The sequence below is a fragment of the Homo sapiens genome, chromosome 11 (genome assembly GCF_000001405.40).
Source record: "Homo sapiens chromosome 11, GRCh38.p14 Primary Assembly".
Classification (NCBI taxonomy): Eukaryota; Metazoa; Chordata; class Mammalia; order Primates; family Hominidae; genus Homo; species Homo sapiens.
The window spans coordinates 72547139-72573557 of record NC_000011.10 but is presented as its reverse complement, the minus strand read 5'-3'; the positions used below and the strand labels follow the sequence as shown (position 1 = coordinate 72573557).

Below are 26419 nucleotides of genomic sequence, written 5' to 3'. Positions count from 1 at the left end.
GTAGTGCAGCTCAGGGCCACCAGGTGGTGTCCAGCCCTCGCTGTCCTCACCTCCCCAGAGGTCAGAGAAGGATATGGGAGGGGGTGGGGTGGGGTGAGGGGGACGCGGCGGGGACGGGGGGGACGGTGGTTGGTAGTCTCACTCCTGTCCATTCACCTACAGGTTGAGTATCCCTTATCCAAAATGCTTGGGGCCAGAAGTGTCTCAGATTTAAGATTTTTTTCGGATTTTGGAATATTTGCATATACATAATGAGATATCTTGGGAATGAGACCCCAGGCTAAACAGGAAATCCATTTATGTTTTATATACACACAGCCTGAAGCAGTTTTATATAATATTTTGAATAATTTTATGCATGAAACAAAGTTTGTGCACATTGAAGCAAGTGTGGAATTTTCCACTTGTGGCATTATGTCGGTGCTAAAAAATGTTTTAGATTTTGGAGCATTTTGGATCTCAGAACTTTGCATTAGGAATTGAGGACTAAGTCTGATATTCTGTCTTACCCAGATTCCTACCTAAGAGGTCTAGGAAGTCATGCCCTACAAACCATACATTCTCATCAGATGGGTTTTATTTGACCCTATATGTTGTGATTTACTTTTCAATCTGACTCTGGCATAACATTATGAGACAAGGAAAAAAATATTTAACCCCAAAATATATTTCCGTGCCATACCTTGAAATTGCCCTGCAAAGTCTCTTGTGGGAAAAATCCACATTCTATAGAGATTCCCCTTCCGCCTTTGTTTTCCTTCCTTTCTTTCCAGATCCAGGAGATAATCAACTAAGTAAGAGCCAGGCACCCTTTTAAGTCCGATAAGAGACAATTTACAACTTGCTCTGTCTGAAGTCTGCTATCTGAGAGCTTCCTCTGCACAATAAAACTTGGTCTCTATAATCCTTTATCTTTAAACTGAACATTCCTTTCTATGGATCCCAGGTCTTTAGACAAACTCAAACAATTGTCAACCAGAAAATGTTTAAATTTACCTATAGCCTGGAAGCCCCCCGCTTTGAGTTGTTCTGCCTTTCTGAACCAAATCAATGTATTTCTTATATGTATTTGATTGATGTCTCATACCTTCCTAAAATACATAAAACCAAGATGTATCCCGACCACCTTGGGCACATGTTCTCAGGACCTCCTGAGGGCTGTGTCACAGGCCACGGTCACTCATATTTGGCTCAGAATAAATCTCTTAAAATATTTTACAGGCTGGGTGCAGTGGCTCACGCTTGTAATCCCAACACTTTGGGAGGCGGAGGTGGGTGGATCACATGAGGTCAGGAGTTCAAGACCAGCCTGACCAACATGACGAAAACCCAGTCTCTACTAAAAAATACAAAAATTAGTCGACCGTGGTGGCAGGTGCCTATAATCCCAGCTACTTGGGAGGCTGAGGCAGGGAGGATTGCTTGAACCCGGGAGGCGGAGGTTGCAGTGAGCCGAGATCGCGCCACTGCACTCCAGCCTGGGTGACAGAGTGAGACTCCATCTAAAGAAAAAAAAAATTTTTTTTTACAGAGTTTGACTCTCCATCAACAGAATGCTGCACCTATATGACCCTCTCACACTCACAAACACAGAGGCATTCTCATGCTGACACATGCACACACACACATGCTCATTCTTTGACACACAGGCATGTTTACCTGCAGACTCCATACAGCATATACCCTGTACAGTACACACCCATACAGACTCATTCTTTGACACACAGGCATGTTTACCTGCAGACTCCATACAGCCTATACCCTGTACAGTACACATCCATACAGACTCCTCAGGGAAAATGGAAACTGTTTCTTGGAGGCCTCCAGCCTGTATAGCTGTTCTCTGAACAGAACTGAGGCCCATCAGTTCTACCTTAGTGAGATCCCTGGAGGTGGTACCTGCCTGATGAGCGGTCTCCCTCTGCAGAACGGTCCCTGGGAAGGCAGAGCCAGCCTTGCGTGTGAACAGGGATAGGCAGAAATGATGCTTCCCTCACCCCTTCTCTGTGCAGGAAATAACTACTAGAGAGCATTGCAAGGCTTGGTGCTGTGCTGGTGAGGGCGGACGTCATGACAGGGAGTGAACCCAGACCATGAAGGGGGCTTCCTGGAGGAGGGTGAGGTGAGGCAGGTCTTGGAGTTTGGATGAGGAGGACGGGAAAGGACTTGAGGACATTGCAGATAGACCAGGAAGGCAGGCTGGGAGGTGAGGAGGTGCAGGAGGCTGTGCTTCTCGGGGCTCAGTCTCCTTGAGACAGGGGTGGGACTGAGGGGTGGATTGGTTGGGGGTGTGCTGAGGAAGGATGGTGAGTAGATGCTATTTTCATAACCTTGGTTGCAGTCTCTTGGGAGGGTGCCAAGTCCAGGCAGGTGAAGGAGTTGAAGGTCTCCTCCGAGCAGGAGCTAAGCCCTCCCCCTCTAGTCTTAGTTTTTCTGTCCATAAACTGGGATGATGAACCCCGCTGGAGGTGGTGAGGGTCGGGGGCAGAGCAGAGCAGCCATTATGCTCAAGACAGGCTCTGGACTGCACCTGGGGAGAGAAGGGAGAATCAGGGTTGGGGCAGGAATGAAGGAAGGGGCATGGGAAATCAGGGGAGGAGGCAGCATGGGTGGTGTGGGAGGATCAAGGATGTCAGGGCAGGCCTCTTACCTGACTGAGGTTTGCACTCCTGGGTTCCCTGTCCTGAAACACAAAGCAAGAGTTGTCCCCATACAGCGAATCCCTGCTCTTCAGCACTCTTTGCAATGCCTCTGGGCTTTCCTTTCTATCCTGGCAGGATGAGTGTTGGGATTCCTCACTGGTCTTAGTTTTCCTGTCCATTAACTTGAAGGATGAACCCACTGGAGGCTTTCAGGATACAGAAGATGTTCTGAGAGGAAGGCTGCCCTGTGTCTGGGCAGCTGTGTGGGAATGAAGTCTGATAGACGGCACAGCCAGATTTTTCTCTGAGGGAATACCAAGATCAGTCCATACAGGAAACAAAGCACAACATCAAGTTTGGGGACTGGTGGGTCAGATGTGAGAATGGGAGGTGTGGCAACATCCTGCCAAGATGGCTGCCACTCTCAATCCCTAAATCACCCCTGGGAGAACTACAGAACTGATTGGGATGCATAGGATTCTAGGAAAAGACAACAGTGTTATAGCCCAACAAGTTCTTCTTGCCTGCTGCCCAGAAAGACTAATGCACTGAGAACAGCAGGTGCTGCAGCAAAGAAAGAGTTTAATAATCACAGGGCCAGCCAAGGACAGGAGATGTTTCTCAAATCTGCCGTCCTGAGAATTTGGAGGGTAGGGTTTATTAAGTATAGTTTGGTGGGCAGGGGACTAGGAAATGGGGAATGTTGAAGAATAAATCACAGGGAGTTGAAGCTGTCTTCTTGCACTGAGTCAGTTCCTGGGTGGGGGTCACAGGACTGGTTGAGTCAGTTTCCTGACTTAGGTTACTGGTCTGGGTGGTAACATCTGGTTCCTCAGAATGCAAGGTCTGAAAAATATCTCAAATACCGGTCTTAGGTTTTACAATAGTGGTGTTATCTATAGGAGCAATTGGGGAGGTTACAAATCTTGTGACCTTTGGCTTCATAACTTCTAAGCCATAATTCTAAACTTATGGACAATTTGTTAGTTTTATAAAGTTTTATAAAGGCAGTTTTGGTCCCCTTGCAAAAAGGGGGTTAGTTTCAGGAAGAGGCTATCATCATTTGTTGTTGTTGTTGTTGTTGTTTGAGACGGAGTCTTGCTCTGTCGCCCAGGCTGGAGTGCAGTGGCACGATCTCGGCTCACTGCAAGCTCTGTCTCCCGGGTTCATGCCATTCTCCTGCCTCAGCCTCCTGAGTAGCTGGGACTACAGGTGCCCGTCACCATGCCCAGCTAATTTTTTGTATTTTTAGCAGAGATGGGGTTTCACCGTGTTAGCCAGGGTGGTCTCAATCTCCTGACCTCATGATCTGCCTGCCTCGGCCTCCCAAAGTGCTGGGATTACAGGTGTCAGCCACCGCACCCAGCCTCATTTTTGTTTTAAAATTAAACTATAAACTAAATTCCTCCCATAGTTGGCTTGGCCTGTGCCCAGGAATGAGCAGACGATGTGCTTGTGAGGTTAGAAGGAAGATGCAGTCAGCTGTGACAGATTTCTCTCACTATCATTCTCAGTTTCTCACTTAATTTTTCCACGGCAGCCTGGGGTGCGCTGGGAGCAGGGAGAGATAAAAGTGAGAACTGGGTTGGAGAGGAGTGCTTGGACAGTCACTGCCTCCCATTTCACCTGTGCACAAACTCCTGATGTGAGTTGATTCAGTGAGGAGGGGCCAGCCAGGTCCCCGTGGGCATCATCCTAGCACTTTCTCTCCCCAGTCCCTAGGATGGGTGGCTCACAATCCAGGGAGATGCCTAGGGCTGCTTCTTTTCTAGATATTCCAGTCAGAGGAGGCTCCAGCAGAAGGGAGTGTCCAGCTGTGGCTGTGGGGTGCCTGGGCCTCACATCTTGTCCTCGCCTTGGTCAGGACCCAGCACAGATTAGGATGCTGCCTTCAGCTCATCCCCAGCACATATTACCAATCCGAGTCATGCTGCCCTGAGGGAAACATTGGTCCACAGGTCAAAAGAATACAACTAAAAGAAAGAAAACAGGTCAGGCACTGTGGCTCACTCCTGTAATCCCAGCACTTTGGGAGGCCGAGGTGGGCGGATCACGAGGTCAGGAGATCGAGACCACCCTGGCTAACACGGTGAAACCCCGTCTCTACTAAAAATACAAAAAAAAATTAGCCGGGTGTGGTGGCGGGCGCCTGTAGTCCCAGCTACTCAGGAGGCTGAGGCGGGAGAATGGCGTGAACCCAGGAGGCGGAGCTTGCAGTGAGCAGAGATGGTGCCACTGCACTCCAGCCTAGGCGACAGAGTGAGACTGTCTAAAAAAAAAAAAAAAAGAGAGAGAGAAAAGAAAGAAAACCAAACAACACAGACAAATCAGGCAGACTTTAACAGATGGGTCCAGAATGTAAAATAAATGCTTTAAATTTCCCTAAAGAGATAAGGGAAGATATTAGCAACATGAAGTAAGAACAAGAAATCATTCAAAAAGAACCATTTGAGACCAGCCTGGGCAACATAGCAAGGCCCTGTCTCTCCAAAAAAAAAATACCCAAATTGGCTGGGTGTGGTAGTATACACCTGTATAGTCCCAGCTCCTCGGTAGGTTGAGGTGGGAGGATCGCTTGAGCCCAGGAGGTCGAGACTGCAGTGAGCCATGATTGTGCCACTGCACTCCAGCTTTGGTAACAGAACAAGATCCTGTCTTCAAAAATACAAAACAAAAAAACAAACAAAAAAAGAGCCAAGTAGAAGTATCAGGGATGAAAAGATTATAGTTGGAATAAAGAAGGGGACAGATGAGAAGAGCAGGGAGGATTCAACTGAAGAGAGAAATAGTGAACTTTGAGGATCAGCTGGACAAACTCTTGATAAAGGCGGTTGGAAAGGGATCAAGAAATAGAAGGTATACGAGAAAATAAAATATAAGAGATGTGGAGGATAGAAGTAGAAATGCCAACATCCAGGCAATAGATATCCCAGATGAAAGGATAAACAAATTGGAGGAAATATTTATAGAAACAGTGGACATAAATATACTATATTAAAAAATTGAAAGACCTAAAATTTAAAGGGATCTGAGAGTGTCAATCATGGGAGATAAGGACAAACTTCCAACCAGATGCATTATTTCATAAATTTAACACTACCAATGCAAAGAGAAAATTCCAAAAACTTCCAGAGAGAAAATGCAGGTCACCTAAAAAGGAGAATGAACCAGGTTATCATCAGAGTTCCTAACAGTATTCACTGCTGGTTGGAATGGATAAAGATGGGACAGTCAAAGACTGTATATACACATCCCCTACATGCAACAGAGAATATACAATTTTCTGCACATACAGAGTATTTGAAAAATTGACCATCTGTTACAGGGATCCGCAACCCCCAGGCCATGGACCAGTCCCAGTCCCTGGCCTGTTAGAAACCAGGCCATACAGCAGGAGGTGAGTGGCAGGCGAGCAAACGAAGCTTCATCTGTATTTACAGCCTCTCTCCATTGCTCGCTAATATTACCGCCTGAGCTCCATCTCCTGTCGGATCAACAGCGGCATTAGATTCTCATAGGAACGCAAACCCTATTGCGAACTGGGCATGCGAGGGATCTAAGTTGCACACTCCTTATGAGAAGCTAATGCCTGATGATCTGTCACTGTCTCCCATCACCCCTAGATGGAACTGTCTAGTTGCAGGAAAACAAGCTCAGGGCTCCCACTGATTCTACATTCTGGTGAGTTGTGTAATTATTTCATTATATATTACAATGTAATAATAATAGAAATAAAGTGCACAATAAATGTAATGCACTTGAATCATCCTGAAACCATCCCCCACTCCTCGTCCGTGGAAAAATTGTCTTCCACAAAACCAATCCCTGGTGCCAAAATGGTTGGGTACCACTGAACTATGAGACCCCACAGAAGCCTAAAGGCCCCAAAGGATCAACATGACATAATGTTTTCTGACCATAATATAATAAACATAGATATTAATAGACATTAATCACAAAAGAATGGTTAAAATGTCCATATATCTGGAAGTGATGTAGTATGTTATTAAACTACTCTTGGGTTAAAAAGAAAACTATAAAGGAAATGATGAAATACTTAGAACTAGACTGTAAAAACAAATCTCCACTACATACAGTATCAACATTTATGGAATAGCCAAAACAGTACTTGGTGAAATGTATATCTTTAAATTCATTTATTGGGAAACAGAACACTAAAAATGAACTAAGCATTCAACTTAAGAGGCTGGACAAAAGACAGCAAAAGAGCAAAAAGAGGAAAATTAAAATGGGTCAGAAATAAATAACCCAGAGAACATCAACAACAGCAATTAGAGATTCCCCAAACCAAAAGCTGGTTCTTTTAAAAGATTAGTAAGACTGACCTCTGATAAGACTGATCATAAAAAAAGAAAGATGTAGACATACTAAGTATAGAACAAAAGACAGACAATATTTACAGATACCAGAGGGGTTAAAAACATAAAAAAAGAGTATCATTAAAAATTACAATTTAAAAGGCTGGGTGTGGTGGCTCACGCCTGTAATCCCAGCACTTTGGGAGGCCGAGGCGGGCAGATCACAAGGTCAGGAGATCGAGACCATCCTGGCTAACATGGTGAAACCCCGTCTCTACTAAAAATACAAAAAATTAGCCGGGCATGGTGGCAGGCGCCTGTAGTCCCAGCTACTCAGGAGGCTGAGGCAGGAGAATGGCGTGAACCCAGGAGGCGGAGCTTGCAGTGAGCTGAGATCGGGCCACTGCACTCCAGCCTGGGTGACAGAGCGAGACTCCATCTCAAAAAAAAAAAAAAAAATTACAATTTAAAAACTTGGATGAAATGGATACATTTCTAGAAAAATATAAAATTCACACGATATAGAATTTGAATAGGTCAATGTATGTTAAAGGAATGAAATGGCAGTTAAAAACCTCCTCTCAAAGAAACTCATTTTCCAGATAGCTTTACAGATAAGTTCACTAAACTTTAAAACTTTGGGAAGTGTCTGGTTTATATAAGTTATTCCAGAAAACAAAGCAAACTCCCCAGTTCATTTTATGATGTTAACCTGTTCTTGATTTTCAAACCAGATAACGCAAAATAAGATAATGCAAGATTAGTTCAGTTTCATCTAGGAGTTTAGATGCAAAAATCCTATATTCAAAATGCTAGCTAACCAGATGCAAATGAATATTTTAAAATGCATCATAATCAGATAGAAATTTTTTTCTAAGGGATGCAAGGATGGTTTCCACTCAGAAAACCTATCCATATAATTCACAATATTAATAGACTTATGGAGAAAATTATAGGATTATTTCAATTGATGTAGAAAAGAGTATTTGATGAAATTGATACCTATTTGTGATTTAAAATAATTCAATGAACTGGGATTATATGGGAAATTAACTTGGAAGAGGTAATATTCCAAAACTCTCCAATTAAGATTTTAGTCAATGGAGGAATTTTGATGTATTTCCTCTGTGAATAGAAATAAGACAGGGATGCCCATTATCACCAATCCTGTTGCACCTAGTACTAGAGGTCCCGGCCAATGCTTTAATGAAAGGAAAAGAAATAGGTGTACATTTTGGAAGGGAACTGATTAGAGTGTCTTTTTTCACAGATGATACAATTGTCTATCTAGAAGCAAATAGAATCAACAGACAAACCATTAGAACTAATAGGAGAGTTTATCAGTATTTCTGGAAATAAGATGAAAATTAATGCTATTTCTCTACAACAACCAGAACCAATTGGAAAATGTAACTCAAAAATAGTATGCCACTCACAAAAGCAATAAAAATGATAAAACATCTTAGAAATTAATCTAGCTAAGAATAAAAATGCTATCTTTGGGACAATATCTAGACATCTGATAAGAAAAGGAGATTATTTGAATAATGAAGGATTCCATGCTCTGGATGAAATGACTTGATATTACTACAAGTTAATTCTCTTAATGTAGCAGGACAAACCGCAGACAAAAACCCTCAGACACCGAGTTAGAGAAGGAGGGGCTTTATTCGGCCAGGAGCTTCGGCAAGACTCACGTCTCCAAAAATCTGAGCTCCCGAGTGAGCAATTCCTGTCCCTTTTAAGGGCTTACAACTCTAAGGGGGTCCACATAAGAGGGTCGTGATCGATTGAGCAAGCAGGGGGTACGTGACTGGGGGCTGCATGCACTGGTAATCACAATGGAACACAACAGGACCGGGATTTTTCACAGTGCTTTTCCATACAATGTCTGGAATTTATAGATAACATAACTGGTTAGGTCAGGGGGTCGATCTTTAACCAGGCCTCGGGTGTAGCGCCAGGCTGTCTGCTTGTGGATTTCATTTCTGCCTTTTAGTTTTTACTTCTTCTTTCTTTGGAGGCAGAAATTGGGCATAAGACAATATAAGGGATGGTCTCCTCCCTTACTAAAAGTAATTTAGATATTTAATACAATCCCTATACAAATTCCTGCTGGTTTCTTGAGCAACACAATAAACTCCTATTAAGTATACATGAAAAAATAAAAATCTGTGAACAGCAAGTTAAATTTGAAAAGTGAAAGTAAAAAGAATATGATTTTTAAGTGATACTATAGTTTAAAAAAAATAGAGACGAGGTCTCACTGTTGTCCAGGCTGATCTCAAACACCTGGGCTCAAGTGGTCCTCCCGCCTCGGGCTCCCAAAGTGTTGGGATCACAGGTGTGAGCCACTGCACCCAGCCAAAAGTGACATTGTAATCCATCACAAGAGTAGGAAAAAAAGGTGATATTGGTGCCAGAGAGACAAGAGCGTTAATGGGACAGAGTAGAGAGCTCAGAGGGGAGCATATGTACAACTAGGAACTTTACAATACTACCCAGTAAAGATGGGACTCCCACTTCTAGGGGAAAGGATGGATTGTTGGGAAAACTCACTCATAATATGCAGAAATAGAAGACTGGATCCCTGCTTACCATCACACACACAGGTGGATGCCAGGCAGATTATAGACTAAACATGAAAGGTAGGAGTGTCAGGTCAACAGAAGAAAACACAGAGCATCTTTGTGTGCATGGAAGACAAACCATAAGAAAAACAATTTGTGAATTCAATTAAATTGAAATTGTGGATTTCTGTTCAGTGACAGATGTCAAGGTAAGGTTAATAGAGAGCCGCTAGAAGGAGAGATGTTATTTGCAATGTTTAAAATTGACAAGAGGCTAATATCTGGAATAGATGAGAAATCCCCACAAGCCAGCAAGAAGAGGACAGTAACCCCAATAGGAAAAGCCCAGAATAAGCAATTTATGGAAGAGATGCTCAAACTATTTGATTATCAGAGAAGCAGAAATGAAAACAAGAAGATATTTTACACCTGTTACAGCGGCAGAACTCAAAGAGCCAGATGATGTCGATTGTTGACAGGGATCCGGGAAATGGACACTTTCACACAGTGGCCATGGGAATGTAGACTGATGCTGTGCTTCTGGACAGCAACATGGCAGTACTCCGTCAAAGTGTCCAGATTCCCTAGACCAGCAGTGCCACTCCTGGGTATATAGCCCAGGGAAATCCTCCCACAGGCTCAAAGGGCACAGGAATGAAGATGCCGGCGGAATGTACAGCATGTTGATGGGCAAAATAGGGTGTATGCACACTACAGGGTACTACTTAGCAGGTAGAAATAATGTATAGACATACCTATAGCAGCATGAATCCTAAAAACATACAGCTGAGTGAAGAAAGAGAGAAAGAGAATGAGATCTATCATACACTACAATTTACCTAAACTAAAATATTGGGCTTCAGAATAACAGCATTCAATTTATAAGAACTCCCATTGGCAAAAGGCTCACATTAAGTACATAAATTCTTTTGAGGAGAAGAGAAGAATGGCAGGGAAGAACGAAGATGAAAAGGAATCCGTAAATAAACCATGAGCAGGACCCTGTATGGGCCAATGATGGTTCCACGCTGTGAACTCAGGAGTAGGATTAGCTCAGCCCTCTGCACCTGAGGCCTGGGGAACAAATATCATAGGAACAAGAAGCACACCTGCCCCCAGTCAGCCTCCTCTGAGTTCCTTAATTGTTCTTGTTTGAGAACGCATTTGTCTCCGGAAGCAGAGCCTTTCAGAGAGTATCTGATTCCTGGCCCTTAGAAAGCCTTGCTAAATGCTTACTTAGTGAATGAAGGAGTCTGTGAATGGATGAATGGGCAGATGAATAACTGTTAAAGAAGAAATGAGCTAATGATTGAATTAGTAAGTGAATTGGTGAATGCAATGGATGGGCCATTGAATGAATGAGTGCATGCCAGAATGACTGAGTGAATGAATCAAGACGTTAAAGAGTGACTGGATTGGGTGAGTCAATGCAATGATGAGTGAATAGATGGGTGAATGAATGGAGAATGAATGAGGGAGCCGGGCTGCTTGCGCAGACCTTGAGGAGAGCTCACCTGACAGGCAGGCACAGTTGAGATGGTTGCAATTCTGCTTGGTGCTCTGAAGAGTTACTAGGCTGCACACCTGCCCCATCACAGGAGAGGCTGGCAGCCACAAAACCTTACGGGGGGAAGTAGCACCTCTTGGGAAGCCTGACCGGCATGGATGGAAGCTCCGAAGCAGGTCTGCAGGGAGAAAAATGCAGCATTTCCAAAACTGAGGACTACCCCCTGGAGGCAGCTGGAGGTGAACAGGCCCTGTTGGACAGAGGCCCCTATCCTCCCAAGCTCAAAGTGGAGGCTGTCCATCCCTAGGAATACTGCCTCCCAGGGTGCCCACAGCAATCCCTCTGCACTGCAGCAGTGGCGGGGCTCAGGTCAGGTAGAAATGCAGGGCCTTGAAGGGAAAGTGCCTCATGTAGAGCTCTCGGGAGCCTCTGCCTATCCACAAGGCCTGGCTCAGCTCTCAGTTCAGGGCGTTGGACAAGTTGATGTTGGCCAGGACTGGGCTTGTAAGCTGGGGTGGAGCAGGGTGGATGGGATGGAATGTTGTGTGGTTGGGAGGGGAAGGGCAGAGAGGGGATAGGTCTGGTGAGTTCCTCAGCATGAGTGCTTCCAGGCCTCCCACAGCCCACATAGGCATCATTGCAGGTGTCCTGAGCCAGGGTCACGATGGTGAAGCCTCAAGTGTGGGCAGGAGGGAGGGAGGGGGCCTCAACCTGGGCTGAGCCAGGCTATCAGCTAAGCCTATTTTGGGTGCTTTCCTGTGTTTATTTCATTTATTACTGGCAATCTCCTTATACAGATGTGGAAAAGGAAGCTTGAAGAGCCTAGGGCCACCCAGCTAGGAAGTGGTGGAGCCTGGATTCAAACTCCAAAGTGTAGAGCTCCTAGGAGCCACCGCCTGTCCGTCCCCAAACTCCAAAGTCCATCTTTGGCCTGAAGCCTATACCCAGTTACTACCCTGTAACAGCTCCTGAGGCCAGGTGGAGAGGGCAGCCCTCAGTCTGGGAGGGCATGTTGAGGTGAAGGTACCTGCAGCATCTGCAGCCAGAGGCTTTCTCATCTCCTCTCGGCAGTGGCTGAAGAACAATCTCTTAAATGGAAGGCTCTCCCAAGGACGGTCAGGAATTATTATCCCCTTTGTAGGCAAGGGAAACTGAGGCCCAGAAGTTCAGCTGGTGAACCCTCCTTCAGAGCAAATAGAGCTTAAAGAGCACCTTCAGGGTCAGATGAGGAAACTGAGACCTAGAAGGAGTAGGAAATTCTAAGATCACTCAAAGATCGAAGGGAGAGCTGGTGCAGAGGGCTGAGCTAATCCTGCTCTTGAGTTCACAGCGTGGAACCATCACTGGTCCTTCCAAGCTCCTGCTCATGGTTTATTGGTGGATTCCTTTTCATCCCCCTCCTCCCCTGCCATTCCTCTCTTCTCCTCAAAAGAAATTATGTACTTAAGCCAGGCACGGTGACTCACGCCTGTAATCTCAGCACTTTCGGAGGCCGAGGTGGGCGGATCACGAGGTCAAGAGATGGAGACCATCCTGGCTAACACGGTGAAACCCTGTCGCTACTAAAAATACAAAAAAAATGGCCGGGTGCGGTGGCTCACGCCTGTAATCCCAGAACTTTGGGAGGCCGAGGTGGGTGGATCACGAGGTCAGGAGATCGAGACCATCCTGGCTAACACGGTGAAACGCCGTCTCTATGAAAAATACAAAAAACTAACCGGGCGTGGTGGCCGGCGCCTGTAGTCCCAGCTACTCAGGAGGCTGAGGCAGGAGAATGGCATGAACCCGGGAGGTGGAGCTTGCAGTGAGCAGAGATGGTGCCACTGCACTGCAGCCTGGGCAACAGAGTGAGACTCTGTCTCAAAAAAATAAAAAAATTAAAATTTAAATTTAAAAAATACAAATAAATTAGCCGGGTGTGGTGATGGGCACCTGTAGTCCCAGCTACTCGGGAGGCTGAGGCAGGAGAATGGCGTGAACCTGGGAGGCGGAGCTTGCAGTGAGCCAAGATCACGCCGCTGCACTCCAGCCTGGGTGACAGAGTAAGACTCCCTCTCAAAAAAAAAAAAAAAAAAAAAAAAAAAATTATGTACTTAACGTCTAGCCTTTTGCTGATGGGAATTCTTACAAAATGAATGCTGTACCAGCTCTCATTTCCTGGCCCAGGTTCTCTGCCCTGTCACAGGAATGGCAGTTTCTGGTCCAGCCTCAGGCCCCACGCTGGGCTCACCTTACAGACCAGCCCCTGGTTTATCTCCCATGAATCACTGTGCCCCTGTACCTGCCTGGTGCGGGTTAGAGCAGCCGATCCTCTTTTCTCTTCCCACCTGCCTCTGAACCATTTATCTGGCTCTCAGCTTAGACCACCTGGGTAGCGTGTGCCTATTAGGGGCAGGTAGATTCTCTTCCCAGGTAGACTGGGAGCCCCTTAAGGGCAGGAACAGATCTGCCTCAGCTCTGGTTTCCTACATCCCTACTCAGAGTATGGGACATAGTAGGTGGTCCAAACAGGTATATTCATTGACTGAAAGTGGCTGAGTCAGGATTTAAACGCACCCAGTCATCCAAACTCAACTGAAGACTGAAGGAGGCCCTATGAAAATCTCCAAATTCTCTCTCCAATTCTCTCTCTAGGCAACTTTTGCTCTCTGGCACCCTGCCCTGGGTGTTCCAGCTTAGAAGCCCTCCTCAGCCTCCTAACTCCATCGCCTCAACTCAGGGAGGCTTCTGGGCTTCCCCTCGGTTCCCCCGCCTAGCCTGTGGCATGGAAACTCTCTCCAGGCAATAAGTGGAGCATTGTGGGGCTCACCACATCTGTTTCCTTCTTCTTAGGAGTCAAAGTCATTGCCTGATATGCAATGCCTTGAAAACCTTCATTTCATAGATTTTTGCCCCTTTTTTGTTTGTTATTTTAGACAGGAGGGTAAATTTAGTCTTTATTAGTCTATTTTGGATGGGAGTGCATGTCTATTTCATTAATTTGTACTGCTATAGAGTACTCCATGTTTGAATGTGAATAGACATTTGGATATGAAGCTTCTGGCTGTTGGGAACAATGTTCCTAGGAAACTCTTGTATATGTTTTGAATATACCATTGTATGAATATATTAGAATTTATTTCTTCATTTCTATTGTTAATGCACATCTTCAAGCTTCCATCTGGGGTGATCATTCCTTTTGACATGAAAAATACCCTTTTAGTATTTCCTTTAGTGCAGGCCTGCTGCTGGTGAATTCTACTATTTCTGTTATTAAATGTCTTTGCAACGGAGCCTACCTCCTGCCCTGAAGGCAAGGTCCTCTCCCCTTCCAACTGGGTGTTTTCTCAAGAGATTGGGAGAAAGAGGCAGGCATGCATCCTGTATTTTTAATTAAAATAAAAAATAAAAAAATATTTCTTCTTTATTCTTGAAGGATATTTTTGCTGCTATTGAATTCTAGGTTAGGAAGTATTTCTCTTAGCCCTTTGAAGATAACATTCTATTCTCTTTGGACTTCTATTGTTGCTTTTTTTTTTTTTTTTTTTTTTTTTGAGACAGAGTCTCGCTCTGTTGCCCAGGCTGGAGTGCAGTTGCGTGATCTCGCTCACTGCAAGCTCTGCCTCCTGGGTTCACGCCATTCTCCTGCCTCAGCCTCCCGAGTAGCTGGGACTACAGGTGCCCACCACCACGCCCAGTTAATTTTTTTGTATTTTTCATAGAGACGGGGTTTCACCGTGTGTTAGCCAGGATGGTCTCGATCTCCTGACCTTGTGATCCACCCGCCTCAGCCTCCCAAATTGCTGGGATTATAGGTGTGAGCCACTGCGCCCAGCCCCTGGACTTCTATTGTTTCTGATGAAAAGTCAGCCATCAGTCTTATTATTTCTCCTTTGAAAGTAATACATGTTTTTCTCTGGCTGCTTTGAATAATTTATCTTTATTTTTGGTCTGCAGAAGTTTTATCACAATGTGCTTAGATGTGGTTTTCTTTGTATTTATTCTGTTTGAGATTCATAGCATGTCTTTTTCAGTGTGGTTTGCAAATAGTATTTCTTGAATCTGTGATGATTTTGCCTTTCCTCAATCTAACTTCATCAAGTATAGATAAGTGTATTTCCCATAATTCCCAAAGCATGGTAAGAAAGTTCTACAAAATTCTACTAAAATCCTGGGATAACAGGAAAGAAATCATAATGTAGAGATAGGGAAAACATTTTAAATTAGCCACTATATTATTGTCTTTAGGGTTTAAACTTAACATACTTCCTTGGAAGAGAAGGGTCCCTGGTGGAAGTCTCTTTCTCCAGCTCCTGATCTATCACCAAGAATGTGTCCCTACCTGGAGTCAGGGCATTCCACCTTCTTATCTGATGCCTGGTGAGATGGAAAACTAGTTTCCCTCTGTCTCTCTAGTTTAGCATATGCCTCTCAGTCAACATTTACACTTTAATGCAGAACAAATTAGCATCTCATTGCTTAGAACTCCTTCATATCAGAATAAGATTTTGGATTTACTACTGAGTAATCAAAATGTCTCTTAAAATATTTGCACCAAATAATTGATCAACTTGTTACCACAGGTAAATTCTGTTTCTATTTCTATATCATATATATATAAGAAAAAAGGATATAAAGGAAAAAAATCCCAGAAGCTTTAATATAGACATTATCCTTCCTCCAACTCCACTTTTAGCCAGTAATATTGGGATCCAATCACAATTGGATATTGATATTGATCACTGAAATATTTATGTCGCTGTGGTGGGTCAAGGCCACATTATGATAGGCTTGATGATGCAGAGAGAGGGGGACACAGAAGTTGACACTGGCAAAACAAGGAATCCACTTCATGCCAACAGTGCTGATGTGGACACTCCCCCTCAGCCCAGCAGAATAAAGGGTTGCCAATGGGCAGCAAGGGCTTCCCTGCCCTGGTGGATTTGTTGCTGTGCTTTGACCATTTGGCTCCAAGTGCCCCTGTATGAGGGCATATTTGTATCTCTACCTTTACCAGCTTATTTGCTCTCTCAGCAGTGAACCAAAGTGGAAGCACCCTTGAACCCTGGTCTGAATCGCTATTCTTACCAATCTTTGTACCCAAGCAAACTCTCTGTGATCTGGCCCAGCTCACTGGTGCATATATTTTTCCAAAATAGCAGTTACAATTACCTACTTGCCCAATCCCTTCTAGACTGCCTTCCTGTTGTAGAAGCTGGAAAACTAAAATGACATTTTCTAGGCTCCTCTGCAGCTTGGGTTTCATGTGTGACCTGAGTTCCATCAGGAAAGTGCCCCAGTCAGATGTGGAGGTGGAAGTACATCCTAGGCATTGATGACTGCATGCAGGTGGATAGAATCATCTGGAAAGGAGCTGTGACAGAGGTGTCTGGGTATTTCAGGGCTGTCCATGGGGGAGTTTCTAATAGCCAGAACCTCACATAGGTGCCAAGTTACAGGTAGTGTTTCCAGTAGAAATTCCCGTGGCACAGTTGGGCGTTTTGGCTGGCTGCATTGTCCCTGGCCCTGTTGTCTTTGGCTGTGTAGCACTAAGCCTAGTTCTCTTCTCCTTCTACTTAAACCTGTATGGCGTACACAGCTAAGAACGCTGACTGGTGCAGCTTTCTTGAAGCACTGATCCCATTGGTTGTAATTGCCTGTCTTCTCTTCTAATATAGCCTGAGTTCCTTGAGGGGAGAGACTAAATCTAGTTCATTTTATGTCCTTAGCACCCAACACAGAACCTGAGATGGAGTATGGACTCAGCAAAAATTCACTGAAAGCTTAAATGACATGTGAGTCATTTATTATTAAAAATCCAATCTGAGCGATTTCATCTACTCAGGAGCCCTGGGCTGGCCTGCAGAGCTTCAGTACTATCTCAGTGGTGATCACGGTCACACAAGTCACCTCATTCAACAGAAGAAAACAGTCTGCCCAGCAAAACCATGCCTGCATGACAAACAGCCAGGCCTCCCATCAATGGGAATCATGTTCACGACGGAATCCTGCTTGCATGACTGGCTGAACATGGATCAAAACAAACTGGCTTCCAGGACACTGGCAGGTTCCAGGATGCAAAACGACATTCACTATGAGTGGGGCATATAAAAGTAGGTCAGAGAAAAAGAACAAAATTTATACTATGTTGCCATCAAATAAATTCTAAAATATCACCAATGGAAAAAAATCCTCCTTAAAGAAATGTCACCCCAAACTGCCCCTAAGCATCTGTTTTTAATCTCTTCATGTGACTCCTCATCCCTGGGTCTTCCTAGTGACCAAAACACAGGCCCCCAATTTTGTTTTCTCTCTTAAGCTTTTAGTTTTCCGTGTCACTTTTCTAAGTTGTGGGATGTGCTTCCCATGGACCCTCTTGACGGCTGGCAGCTGCCCGCCAAGGGGAAGCATCTAGACAGTAGAATGCAGTGGTTCAGGGCATGATCTCTAGCATCAGGCAGAACTGCTTCAAGTCCCTGCTCTGCCATTTCCTTGCTGCATGGCTTTGTGTAAGGCTGTTAACTTTCCCAAGTCTCAGCTTCCTCATCTATAAAATGGGAATAATGATAAACATTCTTTTTTTCTTTTTTTTTTGAGACGGAGTCTTGCTCTGTCGTCCAGGCTGGAGTACAGTGGCATGATCTCGGCTCACTGCAGCCTCCGCCTCCCGGGTTCAAGCAATTCTCCTGCCTCAGCCTCCCAAGTAGCTGGGACTATAGGCGCACGCTGCCATGCGTGGCTATTTTTTTGTATTTTTAGTAGAGACAGGGTTTCACTATGTTGGCCAGGCAGGTCTCAAACTCCTGACCTCATGATTCGCCCGCCTCGGCCTCCCAAAGTGCTGGGATTACAGGCATGAGCCACCGCCCCGGCCACAAACCTTAAGAGATAAACAAATGACCAGCAAACTTCTGAAAAAATGCTCAACATCACTAATGATCAGGGAAATGCAAATCAAAATTACGATGTGATACAATCTTATTCCTGCAAAAATGACCGTGATAAAAAAAATCAAAAAATTATAGATGTTGGCGTGGATGTGGTGAAAAGGGAACACTTTTACATTGTTGGTGGGAATGTAAATTAGTAAAACCATTGTGGAAAACAGTGTGGAGATTCCTTGAAGAACTCAAAGTAGAACTACCATTTGATCCAGCAATCCCACTCCTGGGGTATCTGCCCAGAGGACAAGAAGTCATTATACAAAAAAGATATTTGTATGCGCATGTTTATAGCAGTACAGTTTGCAATTGCAAAAATATGGAACCAGCCCTAATGCTCATCAATCAATGAGTGGATGAAGAAATTGTGGTATGTATGTATATATAGGAATGAAATATATAGGTATGTGTGTATGTATGCATGTATAGGAATGAAGTAATGGCATTTGCAGCAATCTGGATGGAATTGGAGACCATTATTCTAAGTGAAGTAACTCAGGAATGGAAAACCAAACATCGTATGTTCTCATTTGTAAGTGGGAGCTAAGCTATGAGGATGCAAAGGCATAAGAATGATACAATGGGCTTTGGGGACTTGGGGGAAAGGGTGGGAGGGGGTTGAGGGATAAAAGACTACACATTGGATACAGCGTACACTGCTCAGGTGATGGGTGCACCAAACTCTCAGAAATTACCACTAAAGAACTTATTCATGTAACCAAACACCACCTGTTCTCCTAGTGACATTTTAAAACCTAGTGACATTTTTAAAAAATAATAAACCTTGTTAAGGCTGCTGTGAGGATATTTAAGGCATGAGAGGTTTCAGCCACTGTTAAAGCTGCAGCTCTCTGAAGTGCAGGGCTCCATGAAGGTGCATTTCTGGGAAGGAGGGAGCTCATTCCTCATTTTGTCTTCAGACAAAGACAGAGGGGCCAGAAGGGACTCCCAGGAAGAGGGCTTTAGCTTCAGACACAGAAGAGCAGAAGAGACTTGGGTTCAAAACAGACAACTATAGCACTCCAGGTTGGTAGCTGTTGTGGGTTGAACTACGTCCTCCAGTCTCTAGATCTGTGCAAGTCCTCACCTCCACTATCAATGAGTGTGAAATAGGGTGTTTTTTTGAAGGTGTGATCAAGTTAAGATGGATCATATTGTGGTGAGCTGTAATCCAGCATCTGGTGTAAGAAGACTTATGAGAAGAGGGAAATAACACAGACGCACAGGAAGAAGCCCATATGAAGACGGAGGCAGAGACTGCAGTTGTGCTACCACAAACCAAGGAACCGAAGCTAGCAATCTCCAGAGGCTGGAAGAGGCAAGGAGAGATCCCTAGAACCTTCAGAGAGAACACGGCCGACACCACTGTGATTTCAGCCGTTCAGCCTCCAGAACTGTGAGACCATACATTTCTGTTGTTTGAAGTCACCCGTTTGTGACCGTTAGTTCCAGCAGCCCTAGGAAACCAACACGGTGAGTGGGTCAGGGAGGGACCCCTCAGGTCACAGGACATAGATAGATGGGAGGGAGGAGGAGACTTAGCTGATGACCATCATTTTCCAGCTTGGCATCTTGGGTCCAGCTGGCAGGATAGCCCAATCCCCGAAGACCATCTGGGATGCACACACAAGAAGCTGGCCCCCTTGACTCAAGGGGGCGCAACTGCTCCATGCCATCTATGATTTATGCTCCAGACCCTCCTTCCCCAATCAGGCCATGGCTGCCTCCACCTTAGACCACATCCTTCTGCAGCTCTTTCACGTTTCCTGGCCTGCTTGCCTAATTCCCTGACAGGTTGTTTCTACAAGCACTCCCATCCATCAGCCATGTGGTCATCTGTCCCTCACAGAATGCTCATTACACACTTCCCCAGCCCCAGCCCTGGGCTCACTGCTGGGGTAGAGGGGAGAGAGCATTAAGGCAGGGGTCCTGCCCTGAGGGAGCTCACAATAACCGGAATGAAATGTTAATGGATTAATTCAACACATGTTTATTGAAAACATATTATGCGCTGTTCCTGACCAGGGATTGGAAAGGCTGCAGAGGTAAACAAAACCAGACAGCAAGCACACAGACTAGCCGAGAAACAGACACTAATCAAATAAAACCAAAGCAAAAATAAAACTGCAACTGGGCCATTAAGGAAAAGTAGGTGATGCCACAAGAGTCTACATGAGGGGATTTGACCTAATTATGGTGGTCAGAGGGGTCACAGTAGACGGAGAGATGCCTGGGCTAACACCTGAGGTATAAGAGGCAAAGAGGGGAAGAAACAGTTTGTGCAAAGGTCTGGAGGCAGGATGAGGCCCAACAAGAAGGAAGAACTTAAAGAAGCTTTACTAATTTATTATAAAGGATACAACTCAGGAATAGCTGAGTGGAAGAAATGCGCAGGGTAAGGTATGTAGGCAGAGGAATGGAGCTTCCATGGTTGGGGTGGCTGTAGAGTGTGAAAGAGAGAGGATTGTTGGTAAGATGAGGCAAGGGAGGCAGGCAGAGGCCAGGCTGCGTTAAGGAGTTTGGGCTTTATCCCAAAAGGAGTGAACATTAAGGGTTTTAAGTAGGCAGGTGACCCAGTCAGAACCTGGTGTCTGCAGCACAGAGAACAGTCTGGAAATAGGTTCTCTGCGATGGGAAGACCAGGCAGGAAGCTCCTGCAACAGCCCAGGCGAGAACATAATCATCCCTTGGCCTGAAGTCATGGAGGAGAGAGAGAAATGCACAGATGTGAGAGATGCTCTTGGTCATGGGCTGGATATGATGTGTGGAATGGAAAGAGGGGGGTTGGTGACTCTGTTTTCTGGTTTGTGTGACTGCATAGATGTCGGTGCCATTTGCTAGGAGAAGAAGCCATGAAAGAGGACCAGATCTGGGGGAGAAAATCCTGAGTTCAGAAAAAAGTTCTTTATAAACCATAATGGTTGCAGAAATGTCAGCTGTTACCATGTACTCATTTAAAAAATATTTAATGAATGCTTGCTATCTGTACCAGGTGCTGGAGATTAACAGGAAAGAAGTTAACATTGGATGCACAACTGTGGGAAGAGTGTAGAGAGATTAAGAGGGCACCATGGTTGATGTTCTGGGCTGGTGAACACATCGAGGTGCTCGGAGGGTGGCACACTTGGAGAGGGCATGGAAGCTCCTCCCCATTCCTACATATGATGCATTTCTTTCACTTGTCTATTCCTAAGTTGTATCCTTTATAATAAATTGGATAAGAAAGAAGTTGCATTTATTGATCCCTTGGGAAACACATGTTACAACTGGCTGTTTTGCATGGCGGAACCTCTTAAATGTACACCTGGGTTATGGTTACTGAGATGGCCTGTTTTGATGAACTTCAGTGTAATTACCCAGAATATTGGCTTTTTTTTTTTTTTTGATGGGAGTCTCGCTCTGTCACCCAGGCTGGAGTGCCGTGGTGTGATCTCGGCTCACTACAACTTTTGCCTCCTGGGTTCAAGCGATTCTCCTGCCTCAGTCCCCTGAGTAGCTGAGACTACAGGCATGCGACACCACGCCTGGTTATTATTATTATTATTATTATTTTGTATTTTTTGTAGAGACGAGGTTTCACCATGATGTCTAGGCTGGTCTTGAACTCCTGGCCTCAAGCGAGCCTCCTGCCTTGGCCTCCCAAAGTGCTGGTATTACAGGCATGGAGCCACCGCACCCAGCCTGGAGATTACATTTGTGAGAAAGGGGACATTGTATGAGAGACGTAAGTAATCAAAGGAGGTAAACTCGTCATGGTGGCAGATGATGAGATGAGGGAGTCACTCAGTTTGTGGTACTGAGTGATGGCAGCTACTTTGATGAGGTCAGCATTTTTTTTTTTTTTTGAGACAGAGTCTCACTCTATTGCCCAGGTTGGAGTACAGTGGCATGATCTTGGGTTACTGCAACCTCCACCTCCCGGGCTCAAGCAATTCTTCACCTCAGCCTCCCGAGTAGCTGGGACTACAGGTGCATGCCACCATACCCAGCTAGTTGTTTTGTATTTTTTGTAGAGATGGGGTTTCCTCTCATTGCCCAGGCTGGTCTAGAACTCCTGGGCTCACATGATCTGCCCACCTTGGGCTCTCAAAGTGTTGGGATTACAGGTGTGAGCCACCGCACCCAGAGAGGTCAGCATTATCATTAAAGGCAGCAGAACTGGCAATCAAAGAATGGCAAATATTTAAAGTGTCGGCTACTCAGACTTGTTCTGTCTCTCAGAAGATGACTTCATGGAAGCTCTGAGTACCCAGATGCCAAAGCTCTGCTGGAAGAGAAAGGGAAGCAAATCTTGATGAAAGATGAATGTGGATATAAATACTGCAGATGCCAGAAGTGAGCCTGAAGATTTTGAAGAGGGGGCCATCCTAATGGAGGGGTCAGTAGACTCCTGAAAACAAGTTTTGCCTGGATCCTGGCTGGCTATGAGTCAATGAGGCAGAAACTGAAGCAAAGATTAACCAAAGCTGAGAAATATCTGATCTCGCTTGTTGACACAGAATGTTCAGATATCGAAGGACCTGGAATGGAAAGTGGGCCCACGATTCCTACACAGGAGTGAAAAGCTGGTCATTAACAAGGACACATCCCATGATCCTTTTGGTCATGTGACTAAAGGCAATTGTAATTTGGAAGAAGAAAACTCAACTAGGGAATTTTTCCATAAGGAAACTGCTTAGGCTCAGGGCACAAGGCCCACATACTCACATTCAAGGTACTACGATTAAAGAATCATCATATCTTGGGAAGTTTTACAATAGACAATGTGCAAAGACATACAGTGACTAATTTATTAGTATCTGTATCTTTTTTCACATAATGTTCTTTTTATGTAATAGTGTTTATAAAAGTAAACAAGCATCCCTTGCTTTCAGGCAATTTGACTTGTTGAGGAATAAAATATATTCAGAGTAACCAGAAATTAGCTTGTACATCATGTTGGAGAAACCATTTTTAAAAGAATTAGAATGTAGGCCGGGTGCAGTGGCTCACGCCTGTAATCCCAGCACTTTGGGAGGCCAAGGTGGGCGGATCACGAGGTCAGGAGATTCAGACCATCCTGGCTAACACGGTGAAAACCCATCTCTACTAAAAATACAAAAAATTAGGCGGGCATGGTGGCAGGCACCTGTAGTCCCAGCTACTCGGGAGACTGAGGCAGGAGAATGGTGTGAAACCGGGAGGCGGTGCTTGTAGTGAGCCGAGATTGCGCCACGGCACTCCAGCCTGGGTGACAGAGCGAGACTCCACTCAAAAAAAAAAAAAAAAAAAAAAAAAATTAGAATGTAATAAAGTAAGATTAGTTACTTAAAAAAGAGGAGCATCATGGCATCAGACAGACTTTGGTTTGAGACCTGGCTTGACTGCTTACTAGCTGCTTGACCTTGGGTAAATCACTTAACTTCTCTATGTTTCAGGAATATCTGTAAAATAGGATTCACATCCCTGTTCCTTAGCGTGTCGTATGGATGTAGTGACCTAACACATGTAATGCCTTTACTGCATTTGACAGTTTTAGCACAGTGCATATACATGGTAAGTACCTAATAAAAAGATGCTATTGTGAGCTATGATCATGCCACTGCGCTTCAGCATGGGCAACAGAGCAAGACCCTGTCTCAAAAAAAAAAAAAAAAAAAGATGCTCTATCTTTGTTTCTCTATGAGGAACCATTGCATATCATGTCATCTAATCTTTATAAGAAGAGCATGAGGAGAGAATTTTTACAGAGAAGGGAGCCCTGTTGATTACTTATCCAGTAACTTTTGCCCCTCTTCCTCACTGTAAGAAAGTAGGTTTTGTTGGGGCATTCATCATTCCATATTCAGGAAAGCTGGCCCCCTTTCTAGCCTCAGGGTGTATTCCTGATTAGTCTAAACCAATCATGGTGATACTGTGGTTTAGACAGTCATGTGGTCCATTTCAATCCAGTTACCAACTTGTCCAAGCTTGCCTAGGAATGTCCCAGGTTTAGTACTAGTAATGCTGCCTGCTGGAAATCCCTCAGCCCTGGGCAAACTGGGATGGTTGGTCACTGAGACCTGAGGAAAAGACTTCTATAGGGGTGTGTGGGTAGGCTGTGTGTGTGTGTGTGTCTGTGTGTCTGTGTCTGTGTCTGTGTGTCTGTGTGTGTGTGTGAGGTGGCATCTGGAAAACGCTTTTCTTGCTAAGAATAAATGGTAAAGACATACGTGGCAGGAAATGCCCCCTTTGACTGGATGTCTTCTGTGGGTTATTTTTGGAGCTGCTGTAGTCATCCTGCACCATGATTGGAGACAAGCAACAGGCTAAAGATGGCAGCGTGAAGAAATGGACATCTGGGCCAGGCACAGTGGCTCATGCCTATAATCCCCGCACTTTGGGAGGCCGAGGCTGGTGGATCACGAGGTCAGGAGATCGAGACCATCCTGGCTAACACAGAGAGATGTTGTGTCTACTAAAAATACCAAAAATTAGCTGGGCATGGTGGTGGGTGCCTGTAGTCCCAGCTACTCGGGAGGCTGAGGCAGGAGAATGGCGTGAACACGTGAGGCGGAGCTTGCAGTGAGCCAAGATCGCACAACTGCACTCCAGCCTGGGCGACAGAGCGAGACTCCGTCTCAAAAAAAATAAATAAATAAAAAATAAATGGACATCCGGGCCCTTGAGGAAAATTCTGTGCTATGCTCAGAAGTTCTTGTTGTAAGAGTGTAAAATGAAATCCAAAATGGAGATGGTTATGTCAGAGGCCTCTAAGAAGGAGCCGGGAGGGCATGAGCATGAGGAGTTGGGACCCAATCACATACACACTCAGCTGGAATTTCACCTGTTCAACTGGGCTAAGTCACCAACATTCTTAAGAAGCAGCTGCATTTGATTTGAACTCTTTATATTAGGACTGATCATAAATCTCCTGGGGAGACAGTGGCATCAAATTCAGCTAATCGTCACCGAAGAGGCATTCTAAACTGTCAGCAAGCCACATTGACGTAGACTGTGCCAAATTCTTCCCCCTGTGTAGACTTACAGTAAACTTTCATAAGCTCCTGCCCAACCTCGCCTGGACAGAACACGATTTAGCTGCTTGCTAAATTTGTGACTCCCAAATTGCAATCCTTAAGACCCTGATTAAAAAGGCTTCTCTTGTGTTTGCCACTCCACAGTGTTGGTTTTATTTCTTATTAGTTGTCAAGGGTAATAAACCATAATACCTACTAATAATTGTTACTTGCAGCCAAAAGCATCCTGATGCAAAATGGTAACCAGCTGGAAAGAGGCAGAGCTGGACATGAGCCCATCTTCGTCCTAATATTCATACATTCATACTAAACATCAGGACAGGGATAAGTCTAAACTCTGGGAACAATTCTATTTGTCTAGGACAGTATTTCTCAAAGTGTGTTACTTCCATGAGATGCTCTCTGCACAAAGGACTTCATGGTCAAATGAGTTTGGGAAACATGACATGCTATACTCTTACCAATACATATTCATTTTGGGAGTCCTGCAGTAAGGAAATCTGTTCGCCTTGGGTTAACTCAGACTTTCTCAAAATAATTTCAATGTGGGATTTTCAGTTTGTTTTTGTTTTTCTGAAACACCTATTGAGGTCTCCCAGATGTTCCACAGAACACAGTTTAGGAAATAATGATCTAACATAGGGAATGGTGTCTAGAGGATGAGATGTCAGAACTGGGCTCTGGATAGGAGACCACGTGTCTTGGTTTGCCTGTTGTTTGGTGTGATTATAATAGTGCCCCCTTTCACCTTGCAGAGTGTCACAGTTTGGGATGATCAACTGCAATCAGCTCAGTTCTGGCCAAGGAGGAAGGATTCCCCAGGTAGAGGAAGAAGAAAAGGACCCTTCTGGATGAAGAGACACAGGACTGGCCTGCAGTGTGGAGGCTGCACAAGCACCCACAGCTGGTACCCTCGCCAGGCCACTATTTTCTATGTGCCCCAGGAAGCAGGGCTGTCTGATGAGTTGCTTGGGCAACATAACACATGTGCAACCCATCAGGGAAGACAGAAACCTTGAGGAAAAAAGAAAGCTGCCCAGTCCTGAGTTTGTTAATGCTGCCCCCTCCAGCTTTGGGGTTTTTTTTTTTTTTAATTTAACACCTGTCTCCCTCATTAGAATAGAAGCTCTTTGAGGTCAGGAACTGTGTGTGTTCTGTCCATAGGTATATTTATAGCATCTACAGCAGTTCCTCATCTGTAGTAAAGGCCTAATAAATATATTTGTTGAGTGAATGAATCTGAGGAGAAAAACATTTTTCTAAACCACCTTGTGCAGAGGATCAGCAGGGCGTTAACACTCACCGAGCCTCTATTGTGTTCTGGAGGCTCACGAGGCAGCTTGCCTCCCTCAGCTCACCCGCCTCTCCAGGCAGAAATCACAGATGGGCTAATGACAGCTCAACACATCCCACTCGACTTCTGAAGCCCTGGTCCAGCCTCTTGTCCTCCAGGAAGACTTCCC

The 26419-nt window shown here is 44.9% G+C and overlaps 1 long non-coding RNA gene and 1 pseudogene across 1 annotated transcript, besides 1 other annotated feature; one reads left to right on the top strand and one right to left on the bottom strand.

Moving 5' to 3' along the window:
- Positions 1-335: 335 nt before the first annotated feature.
- Positions 336-2902, bottom strand: LINC01537 (long intergenic non-protein coding RNA 1537). Its single transcript, NR_126364.1, has 2 exons — positions 2651-2902; positions 336-2530 (listed from the first exon to the last, which is right to left on the bottom strand). It is a non-coding gene; the product is annotated as a long intergenic non-protein coding RNA 1537 (long non-coding RNA).
- Positions 11095-11302: a silencer, noted in NCBI's record as "fragment chr11:72273300-72273507 (GRCh37/hg19 assembly coordinates)". NCBI's record gives its function as "represses an EF-1alpha promoter that drives an FKBP-Casp9 reporter gene in an ReSE screen in phorbol 12-myristate 13-acetate-treated (for megakaryocytic differentiation) K562 erythroleukemia cells {active_cell/tissue: K562(+PMA)}" and the evidence as "EXISTENCE:reporter gene assay evidence [ECO:0000049][PMID:32094911]".
- LOC100421204 (cyclic nucleotide gated channel subunit alpha 1 pseudogene) lies at positions 21175-22498 on the top strand (annotated as a pseudogene).